At 40.7% G+C, this 18,146-nt stretch overlaps 1 pseudogene, besides 1 other annotated feature; it reads right to left on the bottom strand.

The window, feature by feature from the left end:
• PPIAP33 (peptidylprolyl isomerase A pseudogene 33) overlaps nt 1-17,733 on the bottom strand; it is a 57,933-nt pseudogene extending 40,200 nt beyond the window's left edge.
• Nucleotides 8,833-9,428: an enhancer, noted in NCBI's record as "NANOG-H3K27ac-H3K4me1 hESC enhancer chr9:7548956-7549551 (GRCh37/hg19 assembly coordinates)". NCBI's record gives its function as "activates a minimal SCP1, AML or CMV promoter by ChIP-STARR-seq in naive H9 embryonic stem cells {active_cell/tissue: H9 hESC(naive)}" and the evidence as "EXISTENCE:reporter gene assay evidence [ECO:0000049][PMID:30033119]".
• Nucleotides 17,734-18,146: the final 413 nt, after the last annotated feature.

Here is an 18,146-nt window from a genome sequence, read left to right as displayed (position 1 = left end):
AATACCAGGAATAAAATTACAATGCCCCTGAATAGACTGACACTTTGGCTGGGGAATATATCCTTGTAAAAATTACCTTAGATAAATCCCTTGTACTTCACAGTGTCTGACACATTATAAATGCTCAATAAATATTTGTCAACAGTATGAACAAGTGAATGAATGCCTACTTTGTGCAGCTGCAATAGTAGTAAGACATTGTCCTTGCTAAGAAACAGTACATTGTTACAGGAGGTATAGAGGACTATGGGCCATAGGTACATGGGCAAGTCAACATTTAATTTAATATGTTCTAATTTCCATCCTAATTCTTTCTCATATGAGTAAATAGCAAGATTAGAATGAAATTCAAAAAAAAGTCAGAAATGTAATTATTAGAGAAAGGTGATTATGACTGAATGTTACACTGGAAAGAAGCAACTTACTCATTAAGTCTGCTTTCTGCTCAGCCAAGAAATATTCTTTTCCAAAGTAAGAACTAATCACTGATCCTTGCACAATTAGTTCTGCACCAGGAGAATGGGGACAGTTCAAGAGCCTCAGAAACATTTGCAAAACTTTCCAGTTTAATCTATTAACACCTCAGAAAGGAACATATCATAGCAGAGTTACAAAAGTCTGGAAGTGAGGTCTCCTTTTGGGATGTGGTAGCTAGCGGATTGCTGTTTGGCAATTTAAACACAGTGAGGAGGAATAATTTAAAATATCCTGTGTGCATTGAGGAATAAACATCTCAAGATGGAGTAACTATGTTGGAAACAAAGTCAAATGCCAAGCCAGTGTCTCTCTGTTTACTTTTCTCAACAAGATTATCTAATTCAAGGTAATATATAAAATATTTAATAATTCGTATGGCATAGGCACTGAGCTATCAAAACTGACTCTACCCATGTACAAAACAACAAAATAGTCCACACATTGACTGACTATCCAACCTGCTCCCAGCAACTCTTCTTAATTTGATTTCTGGGCTTATCTCTTATCTCCCTAGGTGACTTGGTGACATCGGACAGCCTCTCCTACTGTGGTGAGTGCAAACCTCTGCCCTGGGAGTCAGAGAATTTGGGTTTCGGTCTTAGCTCTACGCGTTTTATGACCTTAGGGAAATTGTTTCATTGTTCTGTGCTCAACTTGCTTCTTTGGGAAAACAAGGAGATTAGGAGATTGGGCTGACATTTTTCAATGTGAGTGCTATGGACATTGGCAGGCAAGGAACAGTTGTTTATGATGTAAGTCTGTCCAGCACATGGCAGGGTATTTAGTACCCATGTCCTCTGGACACTAAATGCCACTAGCACTCCCCAGTGATTGTGATAACCCGAAATGTTCCATGAATTTCTACTGTTGCAAAACAAATTGACTAGACAGTCTCTAAGGCCCTTTTCACTGTTAACCTTTTAATATTTCTTGCATATCCAGTAAACAGTTCTATATAAGTAATGTCTGTTTTGCACTGGGTGTTTTCTAATTCTCTACAATGACAAGCTTACTGTAATATTCCAGGTCAAACATTTCTGAACAGCTCTCTGACTTAGAAAGCCAGGAAAACTTGCCATCTAGATAGATGAAAAAAGAATCAGCAACCCCATTAGGCCAGCAGTCCAGCAAATTAGCAATTCTCAACTTTTCAGAAGTGCATCGGCAAGATCCAGTTATGAGAAACAGACACCTGATTTAGTATTTTAAGTGAATGAGATTCAATATGGGGAACTAGGTCCTTTCAAAATTTTAGAGAGTTTGGAGGAACAGGTTCTAGGCTGAGCCTCCAGAAATGACTCCTAGAAAACTATTCAATGATTCATCAAGGGAGCTGTTATCCCCACCTCTAACAGGAAGGTAGGGAATAAGAAGGCTGCTTCTGGAACTGTGGTCTTCATGAACATACTCTTGCAATGGTGATCTAATATTACAATACCAAGGCCTTCATTGCCACTGCCACCATACTGCCTCTTACCACCCATGATGCTCTTGAGTGGTCCCTGGAAAGGTAATATTGAAAATCCAATGTTATACCGGCAGAAAACAACCAAAACAGCAGAAATATGGTCCGTGCCTCACTTCAGCTTTATAAACCTAAAGCATATACTTGGGAGAACTAAATTTATATCCATTACAATAACTATACAGATAGTTTCTAACCATCAAGTTTCTACAGTGCAGGAAGGGACAAGAGAAGAAGCTTGATATTAGGTATCAAGATACCACACCTACCGTGGAAGGCATGAAGCTGTCATAATCTGAAGAAAGCCATGACTCTCCACAGAAAAAAAAAAAGTACATGCTAAATATATATAAGTTTGCATATGTTTTCATGGTATGTACAGATGTCCCAAAAGCCACAGTGAACCCTAAGGACACTTACACTAGAGCAGAGTTTCTGAACCTTGACATAATTGACATTGGAGGTTATCTAATTCTTTGCTGTGGGAAGCAATTCTATGCATTGCAAGATGTTTAGCCACATCCTTACCCTCTTCCCACTACATGCCAGAAGTACCCTCCCACTTCAGTTTTTACAGCCAAAAATGTTTTGCAAACATGGCCAAGTGTCCCATTGAGGGGCGGCGGGTAAAAAAAGACCAAAACAACCAAACAAAAAGTCCTTAAGTCTGGCCGGGCTCTGTGGCTCAAGCCTGTAATCCCAGTACTTTGGGAGGCCAAGGCGGGTGGATCACCCAAGGTCAGGAGTTCAAGACCAGCCTGGTCAATATGGTGAAACCCCATCTCTACTAAAAATACAAAAAAAAATTAGCCAGGCGTGGTGATGTGCAACTGTAATCCCAGCTACTCAGGAGGCTGTGGCAAGAGAATCACTTGAACCTGGGAGGTGGAGGTTGCAGTGAGCCGAAATTGCGCCACTGCACTCCAGCCTAGGTGACAGAGCAAGACTCGGGGCGGGGGGCGGGGGTGGGGGGTGGCCAGGGGAAGCAAGCCCTTTAGTTTTATTTATCTGTAAAGGATCAATATGAACATAAAACTTTGTGAAGAGAAAGACTTGATCGACAGAGTCATGCATACAAACATCATGAACTACGATAGGTAAAACTGTTGAAGAAATATGTACATAACAAGAGCATGGACAAGAGCAGCTTCAAAAATGGATTCAGAAAGGGGATTTAATATTGTAATTAAACCAACAGAACCTGGAATTTAGACTCAGAAGACCTGTGTGGTGGTTAATTTTATGTATCAACTTAGCTGAGCCGTAGGATACCCAGATATTTAGCCAAACAGAATTGTGGGTTTGTCTGTCAGGATGTTTCTGAATGAGATTACCTTATGAATCAGTAGACTCAATAAAGCAGATTGCTCTTTCTAATGTGAATGGGCCTCATCCAATCAACTAAAGACCAAAAGAGAACAAAACGGTTTTGTCAGAGGAAATTCCCACTGCCTGGCTATTGTGCTAGGACATTGGTTTTTTCTGGACTTTAGAACTTGGACTAAAACATGGGCTTTTCCTGGATCTCAAGCCTGCTGGAACTTACATCATCAGCTCTCCTGGTTCTTAGGCCTTTGGATTCAGACAAGAACTAAACATTGGCCCTCCTGGGTCTTCAGCTTGCCAATTGCAAATCCTGACCCTTGTCAGTCTCTACAACAATGTGACCCAATTTCTTTTTTGTTTGTTTTTTGTTTTTAAGTTCCGGGATACATGTGCAGAACATGTAGATTTTTTACAAAGGCATACGTGTACCTTTGTGGTTTGCTGCACCTATTAACCCATCCTCTAAGTTCTTTCCCCTTGTCCCTCCACCCTCTAACATGCCTGGGTGTGTGTTGTTCCCCTCCCTGTGTCCATATGTTCTCATTGTTCATATCCCACTTATGAGTGAGAACATTCAGTGTTTGATTTTCTGTTCCTGTGTTACTTTGCTGAGGACGATGGCTTCCAGCTTCATCCATGTCCCTGCAAAAAACATGATCTCATTCCTTTTTATGGCTGCATAGTATTTCACGGTGTATATGTACCACATTTTCTTTATCCAGTCTATCATTAATGGGCATTTGGATTGGTTCCATGTCTTTGCTATTGTAAATAGTGCTGCCATAGACATACATGTGCATGTGTCTTTATAAAGATTTATATTCCTTTGGGTATGTACCCAGTAATGGAATTGCTGGGTCAAATGGTATTTCTGGTTCTAGATCTTTGAGGAATCGCCATACTGTTTTTCACAATCGTTGAACTAGTTTACATTCCCACCAATGGGGTAAAAGCGTTCCTATTTCTCCACAGCCTTGCCAACATCTATTAGTTTCTTGACTTTTTAAAAATTGCCATTCTGACTGGCGTGACATGGTATCTTATTGTGGTTTTTCTCTGCATTTCTCTAATAATCCATTATATTGAGCTTTTTTTCACGTTTTTTGGCCGGGTTGTTTTTCTCTTGTAAATTTAAGTCCCTTGTAGACTCTGGATATTAGACCTTTGTCAGATGGGTAGATTGCAAAATTTTCTCATTCTGTAGGTTGCCTGTTCATTCTAATGATAGTATCTTTTGCTGTACAGAAGCTCTTTAGTTTAGTTAGATCCCATTTATCAACTTTTGCGTTTGTTGCAATTGCTTTTGGTGGTTTTGTCATGAAATCTTTGCCCATGCCTATGTCCTGAATTGTATTGTCTAGGTTTTCTTCTAGGGTTTTTATGGTTTGGGGTTTTACATTTAAGTCTTTAATCCATCTTGAGTTAATAATATTTGTATAAGGTATAAGGAAGGGGTCCAATTTCAGTTTTGTGCATATGGCTAGCCAGTTTTCCCAGCACCATTTATTAAATAGGAGATCCTTTCCCCATTGCTCATTGTTGTCAGGTTTGCTGAAGATCAGATGGTTGTAGATGTGTGGCGTTGTTTCTGAGGTCTCTGTCCTGTTCCATTGGTCTATATGTCTTTTTTGGTACCAGTATCATGCTGGGCATGCTGCTTTGCTTGCTGTAGCCTTGTAGCATAGTTTGAAGTCAGAGAGAGTGATGCCCCCAGCTTTGTTTTTTGTTTGTTTTGTCTTTTGCTTAAAATTGTCTTGGCTATACAGTGTCTTCTGTGATTCCATATGAAATTTAAAGTAGTTTTTGCTAATTCTGTGAAGAATGTCAGTGGTAGTTTGATGGGAGTAGCAGCGAATCTTTACACTATTTTGGGCAATATGGCCATTTTCACGATATTGATTCTTCCTATCCATGAGGATGCAATTTTTTTCCATTTGTTTGTGTTCTATCTTATTTCCTTGAGCAGTGGTTTGTAGTCCTTCTTGAAGAGGTCCTCCACTTCCCTTGATAACTGTATTCCTAGGTATTTTATTCTTTGTAGCAATTGTGAATGGGAGTTTATTCATGATTTGGCTCTCTGCTTGTCTGTTGTCCGTGTAAAGGAATGCTTGTGATTTTTGCACATTGATTCTGTATCCTGAAACTTTGCTGAAGTTGCTTATCAGCTTAAGAAGTTTTGGGGCTGAGATGTTGGGGTTTTCTAAATACAAAGTCATGTCATCTGCAAATAGAGATAATTTGACTTCCTCTCTTCCCATTTGAATACCTTTTTTTCTTTCTCTTGCCTAATTGTCCTGGCCAGAACCTCCAGGTTGAACCACTATGTTGAATAGGAGTGGTGAAAGAGGGCATCCTTGTCTTGTACTGGTTTTCAAAGGGAATGCTTCCAGCTTTTGCCCATTGTGGGTTTGTCATAAATAGCTCTTGTTATTTTGAGATATGTTCCATCAATACCTAGTTTACTGAGAGTTTTTAACATGAAAAGATTTTGAATTTTATCAAAGGCCTTTACGGCATCTATTGAGATAATCATGTGGTTTTTGTCTTCGGTTCTGTTTATATGATGTATTACGTTTACTGATTTGCTATGTTGAACCAGCCTTGCATCCAGGAATGAAGCTGACTTGATCATGGGAGATAAGTTTTTCGATGTGCTGCTGGATTTGGTTTGCCAGTATTTTATTGAGGATTTTCACATCAATGTCCATCAGGGATATTGGCCCCAAAATTTTTTTTTTTGTCTGTGCCCATTTTTGGTATCAGGATGATGATGGTTTCATAAAATGAGTTAGAAAGGAGTCCCTCATTTTCAATTGTTTTGAATAGTTTCAGGAGGAATGGTACTAGCTCCTCTTTGTATTTCTGGTAGAATTTGGCTGTGAATCTGTCTGGTCCTGGGCTTTTTTTGGTTGGTAGGCTATTAATTACTGCCTCAATTTCAGAACTTGTTGTTGGTCTCTTCAGGGATTCGACTTCTTCCTGATTTAGTCTTGGGAGGGTGTGTGCGTCCAGGAATTTATTCATTTCTTCTAGATTTTCTAGTTTATTTGCATAGAAGTATTTATAGTGTTCTCTGATGATAGTTTGTATTTCTGTGGGGTCAGTTGTGATATCCCCTTTATCATTTTTTATTGTTTCTATTTGATTCTTTTATTAGTCTAGCTGGTGGTCCGTTTCGTTAATTTTTTTCAATAAACTGGCTCTTGGATTCATTGATTTTTTTGGAGAGTTTTTTGTGTCTCTATCTCCTTCAATTCTGTTCTTATCTGAGTTATTTCTAATCTTCTGCCAGCTTTTGCATTAGTTTGCTCTTGCCTTTCTAGCTCTTTTAATTGTGATGTTAGGGTGTCAGTTTAAGATCTCTCTAGTTTCTGATGTGGGTATTTTAGTGCTGTAAATTTCCCTCTTAACACTGCTTTAGCTCTGTCCCAGAGATTCTGGTACATTGTCTCTTTGTTCTCATTGGTTTCAAATAACTTACTGATTTCTGCCTTAATTTCATTATTTACCATGGAATCATTCAGGAGCAAGTTGTTCAATTTCCATGTAATTGTGTGGTTTGAGTTAGTTTCTTAATCCTGAGTTCTAATTTGATTGCACTGTGGTCTGAGAGACTGTCATGATTTCAGTTTTTTGCATCTGCTGAGGAGTGTTTTAAATCCAATTATGTGGTCGATTTTAGAATAAGTGCCATGTGGCACTGAGAAGAATGTATATTTTGGTGATTTGGGGTAGAGAGTTCTGTAGCTGTCTACCAAGTCTACCTGATCCAAAGCTGAGTTCAAGTCCTGAATATCCTTGTTAATTTTTTGTCTCATTGATCTAATATTGACATTGGGGTGTTAAAGTCTCCCACTATTACTGTGTGGGAGTCTAAGTCTCTGTGTATGTCTCTAAGAACTTGTTTTATGAATCCGCGTGCTCCTATACTGGGTGCGTATACATTTAGGATAGTTAGTTCTTGTTGAATTGATCCCTTTACCATTACGTAAGCCCTTCTTTGTCTTTTTTGATCTTTGTTCATTTAAATTCCATTTTGTCAGAGACTAGGATTGCAACCCTGTTTTTTTTGTTTTGTTTTGTTTTTGTTTTTGTTTTTCGCTTTCTGCTGAGAGGTCCACTGTTCGTCTGATGGGCTTCCCATTGTAGGTGACTTGGCCTTTCTTTCTGACTGCCCTTAACATTTTTTCCTTCATTTCGACCTTGGAGAATCTGATGATTATGTGTCTTGTGGTTGATCCTCTCGTGAAGTATCTTAGCAGTGTTTTCTGTATTTCCCGAATTTGAATGTTGGCCTGTCTTGCTAGGTTGAGGAAGTTCTCCTGAAGTGCGTTTTCCAGCTTCTTTTCATTCTCCTCATCTCCTTCAGGTACTCCAGTCAATTACAGGTTCGGTCTTTTTATGAAGTCCCGTATTTCTTGGAGGCTTTGTTCATTTCTTTTATTCTTTTTCCTCTAATCTTGTCTGCATGCCTTAATTCAGCAAGGTAGTCTTCAAACTCTGATATCCTTTCTTCTGCTTGGTGGATTTGGCTATTGATACTTGTGTATACTTCACAAAGTTCTCGTGCTGTGTTTTTCAGCTCCATCAGGTCATTTATGTTCCTCTCCAAACTGGTTATTCTAGTTAGCAGCTCCTCTAACCTTTATCAAGGTCTTAGGTTCTTTGCATTGGGTTAGAACATGCTCCTTTAGCTCAGGAGAGTATTTTATTACCCACCTTCTGAAGCCTACTTCTGTCAATTCATTCATCTCATCCTCCATCCAGTTCTGTGTCCTTGCTGGAGAGGCTTTGCAATCATTTGGAGGGGAAGAGGCACTCTGGCCTTTTGGGTTTTCAGCGTTTTTTCATTGACTCGTTCTCATCTTGAGTTTGTCTCATTTCAATCATTGAAGCTGCTGACCCTTGGATGGAGTTTTGTGGGGACTTTTTTTATTGTTGATGCTATTGTTGTCACTTTGTTTTTCTTTCAATGCGTCAGGTCCCTCTTCTGTAAGGCTGCCATGGTTTGCAGGGGGTTCCCTCCTGTGCCTGGAGATGTCACTTCAGGAGGCTGGAGAACAAGAAAGATGGGTGCCTGCTTCTTCTTTTGGGATCTCTGAATTTGAGGGGCACCAAACTGATGCCAGTAGGATCGCTCCTGTATAGGGTGTCTCACAACCCCCGTTGGAGGGTCTCACCCAGTTGGGTGGCACAGAAAAGAGGACCCATTTAACAAAGCACTTTGATGACACCTTGGTGGAGGGGGTGTGCTTTGCTGGGGGGAAACCCACTCATCTGGGCTGCCTGGATTCCTCAGAACTACCAGGAAGAAAGGGTAAGTCTGCTGGTCCGCAGAGACTGCGGCCACCCCTCTCACTAGGGGCTCAGGCTCAGGAAGATCTGGGTTGGGTCCCTGAGTCTCTGGCTGAAGTTGTTGGAGTTCCTGCAGGGAAACCCCACCCAGTGAGAAAGGATGGATCAGGGTCAGGCCTGAAGAGATGTTCTGCCTGCAGTCTGCCACAGCCCGTGTGTTTGAATGGTGGGGGACACCTCTAGGGGCCAAGACGTCCAGCCTCCCTGGCTCCAGCAGGGGAAAAGCACAGCCTGGAGCTATGGAGATGGATGCCACCCTTCCCCCAGCCAGGGAGCTGTGTTAGGCAGTTAAGAGTCCCAGAGCTGGCTGCTGTCCCTCCCTCAAGGAGCTCAAAAGGCTTAGACAGCAGGCAGCCACAGCTGTGGTGCTGGTCACCCCTCCCCCCAGGAGCTCAGCAGGCTTAAGCAGGAAGCTGAGAGGCTGTTGAGAATCTGCTCAGCTCCAGGGTTGAAACCCTAGGCCCTGGTGATGTGGGTTCGTGAGTGGGATCTTCTGATTCATGGGTTGCACAGTTCCATGGAAAAAGCACCGTTTCCCAGGCTGGGTAGCACATTCACTCACCGCCTCCCTTGGCTGGGGAGTGGGGGCTTCCCTGCCCTGTGTGGCTCTCAGGTGGGCTGTCACACCACACTGCTCTTCCTTCCTCTCCATGGATCGTGCCAGCCACCTCGCCAATTTCTTGTACTAAATCTCTTTCTATACATATACTTTCTATTGGTCCTGTTTCTCTGGAGAACCCTAATACAGTTCGATTTAAGTGTTAGTTCTATTGCCCAATCTGTGAACTTGGACAAGTCAGTTTAACTCTCTGAGCCTCTGTTTTCTCACCTATAAAATGGAGATTATGGAAACACTTATGTCACAAGATTACTGTTTGATTGAGGCAAGGTGGACTGAGTAGCTCTCTTTACCTGTATTTTACAAGAACTATGTGTCTTTTAAGGCATTTCCTCCTTCCTACCACAGCCACCCTGAGTCACTGGGAACAAGTATCTACAGATGTACCTGTGCCCCTATCTCAAAAAATGGAACCAGGTGCACTCTACTCCACTTGGTGAAGGTTCTTCCTTCTGATCCATTTGAAAATCATATGAAGGTTGTTTCCGTATCATTGGCATGATTCTTAAGGATGAATTTAGAAGAGTTAAACATTCAAACTTTAGCAAGTTTTTATCTTTTGGAATTTTTGTTTTGTTTTGTTTTTGAATTTGAAACATTAAAGAAAACAATTATTGGGGATCAAAAAAATCTTATTTCCCTGCCAAACCATATGCATCGAAATTGTTTCTATCAATGGAAACAGTCCAAGAATTTGAAAAACAAATCCCAGTGAAAACACGCAAAATTAAGTTGGCAATTTCTTCTTTTTGATTTTTTTAAAAAAGAAACCATAAACTAGAAGACATAGAGTTTTCTTTTTTAAACGAATTTCTCATCTTCCAGCAGGAGCCATTCTTTTCACAAATCAATGCTTACTGCTAAAAAGAGAAAGCTTAATGGATGAACATTGTGGTAAAAGTGAAGGCCCCTCCGAACACATTTTAAAAGGAAATTACAATTCAGTAAATTCTCCTTCCCCTCTTGTTCTGTTTGTATTTCCATTCTGTGCTGTTGCTAATTCGAAAAGCCAGATTTTCACTCCACTCCTCATTCTGTTCAACTTTACAACCTGGATAAGCCTTTCTGACACAAAAGACTTTATGTTGTGGGACAAGAGGTTCTGGATCCTGGATTTAAAGTCTAATTTGGAGCCTTCCTGTGTCAAATTCATTCACCTCTGCAAATACATTGTAATAAAATAGTGACGGTCTGATTAATCTACAACCGTTCAAATGTATCTGGAGAAGCAAGTGCTTTTCCCTTAGGCTCAGATTGGCATAAGGGCACAAATATTGCCCTAAAGCAGTAATAAAGATCCTTTCCTATTAAAATGAACAAGTCAACAAAAATATCCCTGTGTCTCAAAGAAAATATCCCTCTAGAAGATGTTTATCAAAAGTTATTCACAGAATTATACGGTCATCCCTCTGTATCTGCAGGGGATTTGTTCCAGGACACACTGCCCTCATAGCAAAATCTGTAGATGTTCAAGTCTCTGATTTAAATCGTACAGTATTTGCATATAACCTATGCACATCCTCCTGTATACTTTAAACCATCTCAAGATTACTTATAATACCTAATACAATGTAAATACTATGTAAATTGTTGTAATACTATATTTATTGTTATATATATTTATGTATATATATATGTAATATATATATTGTTTTATATTTTCAATCCATTGTTAGTTGAATCTGTGGATATGGAACCCAAAGATATGTAAGGTCATCTGTACTAACTACTATAATCAATTTCACTAATGTGAAATCATAAAATTTACAAAGATTGTTTAGAACAGTATGCTCAACCTGTGTTATCCATGGCATTATTACTTAATAAATGTGCAAATAATAATAGGTGCTGGTATTAATTACCTTTGAAAAATGCTAATCCCCTCTTAAAGTGTCATATATTACATAGTATATTAAACGAACTGAGAAATTCTTCGGTAAAGAAATTTAATCTTATTCTCCAAGATTCTTCTAGACTTACTTGACTACAGACCTCTTTTTTTCATAAAAATATGTCTTAACAGATGTGAGATTAGAAATCTTTGCAGAGCAGTTTGAAAAATGTTGGTTGAGGATCTCAACCTACTATATCACTCACCTCACCCTGGCACATATATGTGCGTGCACACACACACATACACATATCAGTATCATAATTGCTCCTTTTAGAGGCACTCACTTTTCTCTAATACAGCTCTCCAAAACTAGCTTCCTCTCACCATCAAAACATGTTTATCTTCTGTATACATTCCTAGGATCCTGCTTTCTGCTAACAGGCAACTTATGTGATCAGCTATTTGAAAATTTGAAGGTAAAAATGAGAGCTCTGGAATGAGAATACCTAGATTTAAATTAGGGTTTCATAATTTATGAACAGTATGATCTTGGGCAAGTTACTTGACCTCACTAAGCTTTAACTTTCTGCTCTATACATTAAGCATGATAATGGTGCTTATTTCATTAAGTCACTGTGATGTTTAAATGAGATGATTCCTACAGAAATGTGTCTGACACAAAGTGTTCAAAAACATTTTAAAGAAACAAATATATACATGAATTATAACAATTAATCTCATGTGGGGCATTTTTCCTTCTGCTTTATAAATGTTTCCTTTAGATAAGGTTGTTGTGTAAATCCTTCAAGGGAAGCCTGTGAGCCTTGATAACAAGACCACACCAGACAAACTATTTGGTCCCAACTGCCCAACTCCATCTCATGCCTCCCTCCCTCTGGCTGTCTGTGCCAGTCTCAATGAACCTCTTTCAGTTCTTGAAACAGGGCTATACTTTGTCTTTTGCACATGCTGTTCCCTCTGCCTGAAACACTCTTCCTCACTGCTGCCTTGCTTTGACGTAATCAGGCTTTTGGCTGAAATGATATTTCCTCTAAGAAGTTTTCTTGATACCACCTCCCCACCAGACTAGTATAGTTACCCCATGTGCTTCCCCTATAATAATATTCATCACACTTGATTGTAACTTTATCTGCCTCCTCAGCTTTAGGGACTGACTCTGTGTTTTTCTCTCTCTCTTCTCCTCTCCCCCCAGCCCCCGCCACAATTTATCACAGAACAGAACATACTGGTGGTTTTATGAATACCTAGCTGGTACAGGAATCCTTACTCAACCCTCCAATCCCATCCTCCATTTTGCACATACCACAAATGTATGTCTTCCACACATAAGTCTTACGCAACCCTAACAGGGGAAGCCCTTATGATGTCTGAGGAAAACTTTTTTCATGCGCCAGGTAAAAGGGAGCTTAGAATCTGATATATTATAAATTAACTTAAAGAAAATAAGGAAGCGTGACTTTATTACAAAGTAAATTCTGCCACAAAGGTAATAGGATTTCCATTTTGAGGATGCAGCTTAGAGAAGTAAAGCAACTTCCCATAATCGCACAACTAGTAAATGACAGAACTGGAATCTAAATCTTGGACTTTCTAACTCTTAAGCAAGCTCCCTTCAATTTTCACAACACCATCCTGTCTGCTTTAGATACCATGCCAATCAAAAATAGGATACCCAGAAAAATGTTCTGAATATAGACATCCCAAGACATATGGGGTGCAGCAGTGCCAGCAGACCAATGCCAAGCAGCATCCATAGATAAGAGAGATTAGCACTGCATGCAAGCAGAAGTCTCCTCCAGGCTGAGTTCTTAGCAGGCACAGGAATTCTGTGTTCCATAGTGCCCTTTCAGCATGACAACTTGGAAGGATGGGAAAAGCCCAGACTTTGAATCAATCTTCAATTTTAATCATTGCTCTGCTACTTTAACGTTGTGTGATTGTGGCCTGGTCACTTGCCCTTTCTGAACCTCAATATTTTAATCTATAAAGTAGTCATAATTCTACCTATTTGTCAAGGATAATGTGAGAATCCAGTAACAACCTGTGTAAAACTGCCTAACACAGCTCTGGAGCCCGTCGGATACTCCCTCTGTTCCCTTCTCTTTGACCAGTGGTTTCTGATAAGAGAAAGCTGTCTTCTTGAGCAAAAACTACCTTTCCCTATGGATAATCTCCCTGTTCACTGATGCCACCATAAGGACTAGCTCTGGGTGTTGGTATCTTGGCCCTGGGAAGAGGTGGGGAGGTTGACAGAGGAAGTCAGTGGATCCCTTTTCCAAGTTGGCCCTGGACCCATGGACCAGAGATAACAAGGAGTTCTGTGCAAAGAGAACACATTGGAAGCCCGTGTGCTCTGATGTGGGAGAAAGCTGGGTCATGCTATTTGAAGTGGCCTCCAGATTGTGAAACTCAACCCTGCTCATCCTCCCCACAAACATCCTGGTGGCTGTGTGGTAATGGACAGCTATCATTATAGCATTTATCCATCTCTGGCCTCAGACCTCCCAAGGCCATCTGAAAACCAAACTCCTAGCAAGGATCAAATGGAAAGGACAATAAGTTTGAGCCCAGAAGTTGGAAATGGGAGGCTTGGTAGAAACCCAAAAAAAAAGGAACAATCAGGAGCTACTCTCATTTAATGCTCTTTCTACTGAAGGAGTATCTTTGTCACTGCAGTTCTCCAGGGCAATCTAATGAAGTCTCTGTAAAAGAATCTGGTTCCACGCATAGGCTGCCTATTGATTTCATCAGTAGTTCTTTAAAGGGTTCAATTAAGGGTAAGAAGGAAAGCAAAGCAAAGTTGTGTCTAAAGAGTGGGAAAACCCAGATCCAAAAAATGTGAAGCTGGAATTTTTCAGCCCTTCTAAAATGTGATAAGGATCAGAGTGTAAGAGAGGCAATCAATTATGTCATTAGGACAGGTCACAAAAGGGAGAAAGAGAAGAAACACAGAAAATTATTGACAAGTGCATGAAGACAGTGCCTAACAAAGATGGTGCTTTCTCAGTCCTCCAGGAAAATAATACATCTTTTCTCCTCAATATTCATATCTTCCTCATTTTAAAAAAATTATAGCCAGCCAATTCCTATTGACTGTCATTATTCTTTTATTTAATCAAAATGTGTGCTTGGATATTAGTTTTAGACCCTGTGCTAGACAGGTGGAAAAAAAGGTGAACAAAAATAAACACAGTCTTGCTCTCAGAAGATTCAAAATTTAATTGGAAAGATAGACATTAATCAAATAATCACTTCCATTAATGTTTGATTACAAACTGATACATAAGTGTTCAGGAGGAAGAGAACTTGGTGATATGAGAGGGAAATTGACCTACACTGGATAGGGGCACCATTGAAAGCTTCCCTAAGTAAGTTATTCATGAGTTGATGTCAAAAATATGAATAATAAAGCAAAAGTGTACCAAAATAGGAATGAATAAGGAAGATACTGGGTGATGCACCAAATTACAGGAAGACCGGAGGGAGGAATAAACTCAGAAAATGTCAGGAATCAAGAGAAGCTGGCAGCAGAAACTCTCCTGGACTTGCTCCCAAGCACATAGCCACTCCTGCTCCATGATGTGGCTGCTGAGGTCAGTAATTAAGTCCCATTGTCCCTTTGGCTTTTTGTCACTAAGTCAAGATACAAAGCCTGGAGTGGAAACTCCCAGCTGTACAAACCTAGGTCAGGTGCCCAAGAGATAGGCTTCCCTCCTTTTGAGTCACATAATAGGATTTCCCAAAACCAGGAAGAGGAGTGGAACACTGGATGACAAAAAGAAAAAGAAAAAGAAAACCTCTACCATGGGAGAGAGGGGGAGAAAGGCATGGCAGAGAGTGAGAACTGCATGCACAGTAGCCCTTGCCTAAGTGTAGAGACACACTAAGAGAGATAGAGATAGAAGAGGCTGAAATCCAGGCAGAGTCATACTGATTCAGTTCTTGCAAAGCTCTTAAGATTTGGATCTTTACCTTGAGGCAATAAGAAATCATTGATGACTTTATCAGCAGAAGGAAAGCATATTCAACTGCATTTTGGAAAGATAATTCAGAATACAGGAGAGAGAACAGACAGTGAGGGCACAAGAGCAAATGGGGAGCAGTCCACATTTGTAGATACCGTGATGCGTAGATAGTAGACACCGTGATGTGTATCCCAGGTCCCCACTTCAGGACTGAGGCACATCTCCCCAGCTACAGAACTGTTGGTTGCTGACAACTCACAGTTAAATCCCTTTTTGAGACTAGCCCTTGGCGTAAGGAAGCTGCCACAGGGAGGCTATGTCCCTCCCTGGAGACAGCTGGCATCAGATGACTAATCAGCATTGCTACAAAGGCTTTATTTGAGGTGGCTCTAAAGGGCTATCTGAGCTCCAGAGCTCCCTGTGGGATCAGCTGAGGTCTCATGGCAACTGCATCACAGTTTCAGTTCTCCTCCTGCCCGATCCTGCTACCCTCACTCCTCATCATTAGTGACTCCTGAAGCAGTCCTCAGTAATCTTTCTGCATACAAATCTCCATCTCAATGGTTTTTTTCTCAGGAATCTCGACCCGAGACAGCATGACAATCAGAAGACTATAGGAGCCTAGCAATGAAAACAGGGTAGCCTCGACTATGGTAGAAGTAGATACTAGGGAGAGAAGTGTGCTGATTAAACTTTTCAAGGCCCAAGGACCTGAGAATCATATGAGAGAAGAGACCATTTGCAGAGTTAAGGAAAGAAACTCACCCCTTCCTAGATTAGATGTTTCTAACTTCCCTAGTGGTTGAATGGAAGAGAACAGTCATTCCTTCACACACTGGCCCAAACACAATTTCAAACCTTATCCCCATTCTAATAACCACTAATGCTCCTGCTGCAGTCGGCATCTGCCATAGTGTATGATGTGTTGGGAGCTGGCTGCCTCCAGAGCTGAGACTCTTAAGACTGGAGCAGCTGTTACAGGTCTGGCTCTCCTGCCTGATTCTTTGTAGCCATATCACTAAATTTCCAACAGTCAGTTCATTTTATGGCCTTTTCCCCCTTCTCTTTGTAATGCTGCTACCGCCCAGTGCAGAGGCTGCCAAGAGGGTTGATTTCAAACACAGGGCTTTTAAAAGGTGACAGATGAGATGATGTCATGGCATGGAAGGTAAAAAGCCCCCTTCTTCCTCCAGAGTGGTTTAACCAATAAAATTAATTTGCCTGTTTACAATCTAAAATAAAGACAAGATGGTTTAATTTTTCAATAAAAAGTTTTGGCAGGAAGGAAGGGAGTTATTAGCATGCTGATCAGGTTGAGGGGGAAACCAAATGTAGACAGATCATCCTGAAGCCACACTGAAGGGCCTCACCTCTCTCCTTCTGTCTGCTGGTTGCAGAGGGAGCTGCCATGATGCAGCTCTAGCTAAGGGACAAATGGGCAGGCAGCGTAGGTGCTGGCAGGAGCTGGTAGAAGCTGTGGGCATTGCACAGTTGGCCCGCTTGAGCCATTAAGAGAAGTGACCAGTTCAGAACCATTCTCAAAAGACATTCCAGGGCTTAGCAATGACAATCCCCCGTCAGCCTCCCTCTCTGTAGCTGAGGCCCAGCTCTCTTTGCCATTTGTGGCAATCATCAAACAGATGAACTTTGCAAAGCCTCATGAATTCCTGGCAGCTCTTCTGCAGTGCTTCCGTCTCTTGCTCTTTCTCCCCAACTGGCTACAGATGGATCGGCATTTCCTCCATAGCTAGGATGGCAGAACCAAGTTCCAAAGGGGCAATTTCAATATCTCACCTTCTGCTTCCACCTTCCAGCCTCCCCATGACCCACCATTCAAAAGAATGACTATAGCTCTCCACTGGAGGATGACGTTGACATTGAATCTGTATTCAAAGTTGGAGAAACTTGAAAAACTCCAAAGATTTCTAAGGACTTTTGAAAGACTCTGCTTACTCCTAATAGCCCATGTTTTACCAGGGTATACTTAATACTTGCAAGATTATAAGATTCTGTTTTACAAAGTGCTCTTGCATACATTATCACATGTGATACACATATGATTATCCCATTTTCTAGGTAAGCAAACTGATGATCATGGGGAAGGTGAGGAGGATAACAATATTTTTTGAGACTAATTTATGCATTAGAAGCTATGTGGAAGCTCTACCCCATAACTCAGCTAAATCTTCACAATCAGCCCTGAAAGGTAGGAAATTATATCCCATTTACAAATGAGGAGATGGAGACAGAATTTACATGATCACCCAAAATCACGTAACTGGCCTTGGATTTGTAGTCAAGCCAGGTTACCTTCAAATTCTTTCCCTGCACTGGCTGCAGGTTTACTTCATTTTCCTGGCAGATGGATAAATCTGTCTGGTCCATTCATTCCTCAGCTGCCCTTCCAAGCTAGAATGTCTAGCAAACTCTCTCCCCAGTGAACATATTTTTGTGCACCTGTTAAAAAACGCAAAATGCCTTCAATACACCTGGAAAGACAAGTTACACCACAGTTCTCATCTTCATTCAGCATCCAAACAGGGAATAAATCCAATACTGCCATCACCATCACTGCCATCTCCATTACCCTAACATTATCATTATCATCATTATCTTCATCAAATCCTGTCTTTGGAGCTCCCTCAAGCACTTCGCCTTCCTTAGGGGGCATTTTTTAGAGGACGAAACAGACACAGCCCTTGCTTTTGACTTGCATTTTGCAGTAATGTTCAGTGAGAATTTAGTCTCTAGAGCTAGTGGAATTAATGAACACTTAGGATCAGTGACTAAAGAAAATTCAATGGTTGAACCAAAGTAATAGGAATCTGTTTACAAGACAACCCTCATAAATAGCATAAAATGAATATGCTTCTCAAAAAAGGAATTAATTAACATTTAACTACTGTGCATTTTCTGTCTATTAACTAAACATCTCTACAAATGGCTTGTGGAATGGACAATTTATTCCCACCCTTTGGGTTTTCAACACTAATGGTGGAAGTGAGAAGAGGAAAATGCTTGACGTATCAGCAAAATAACCATTCCATCAAGGTTCAGAAGCGTTCTGTAAGGATGGGATAACAA

The sequence above is a fragment of the Homo sapiens genome, chromosome 9 (assembly GCF_000001405.40).
Source record: "Homo sapiens chromosome 9, GRCh38.p14 Primary Assembly".
NCBI lineage: Eukaryota > Metazoa > Chordata > Mammalia > Primates > Hominidae > Homo > Homo sapiens.
Note: the sequence above shows the minus strand (reverse complement) of the source record. Positions and strands in the feature narration are given on the sequence as shown.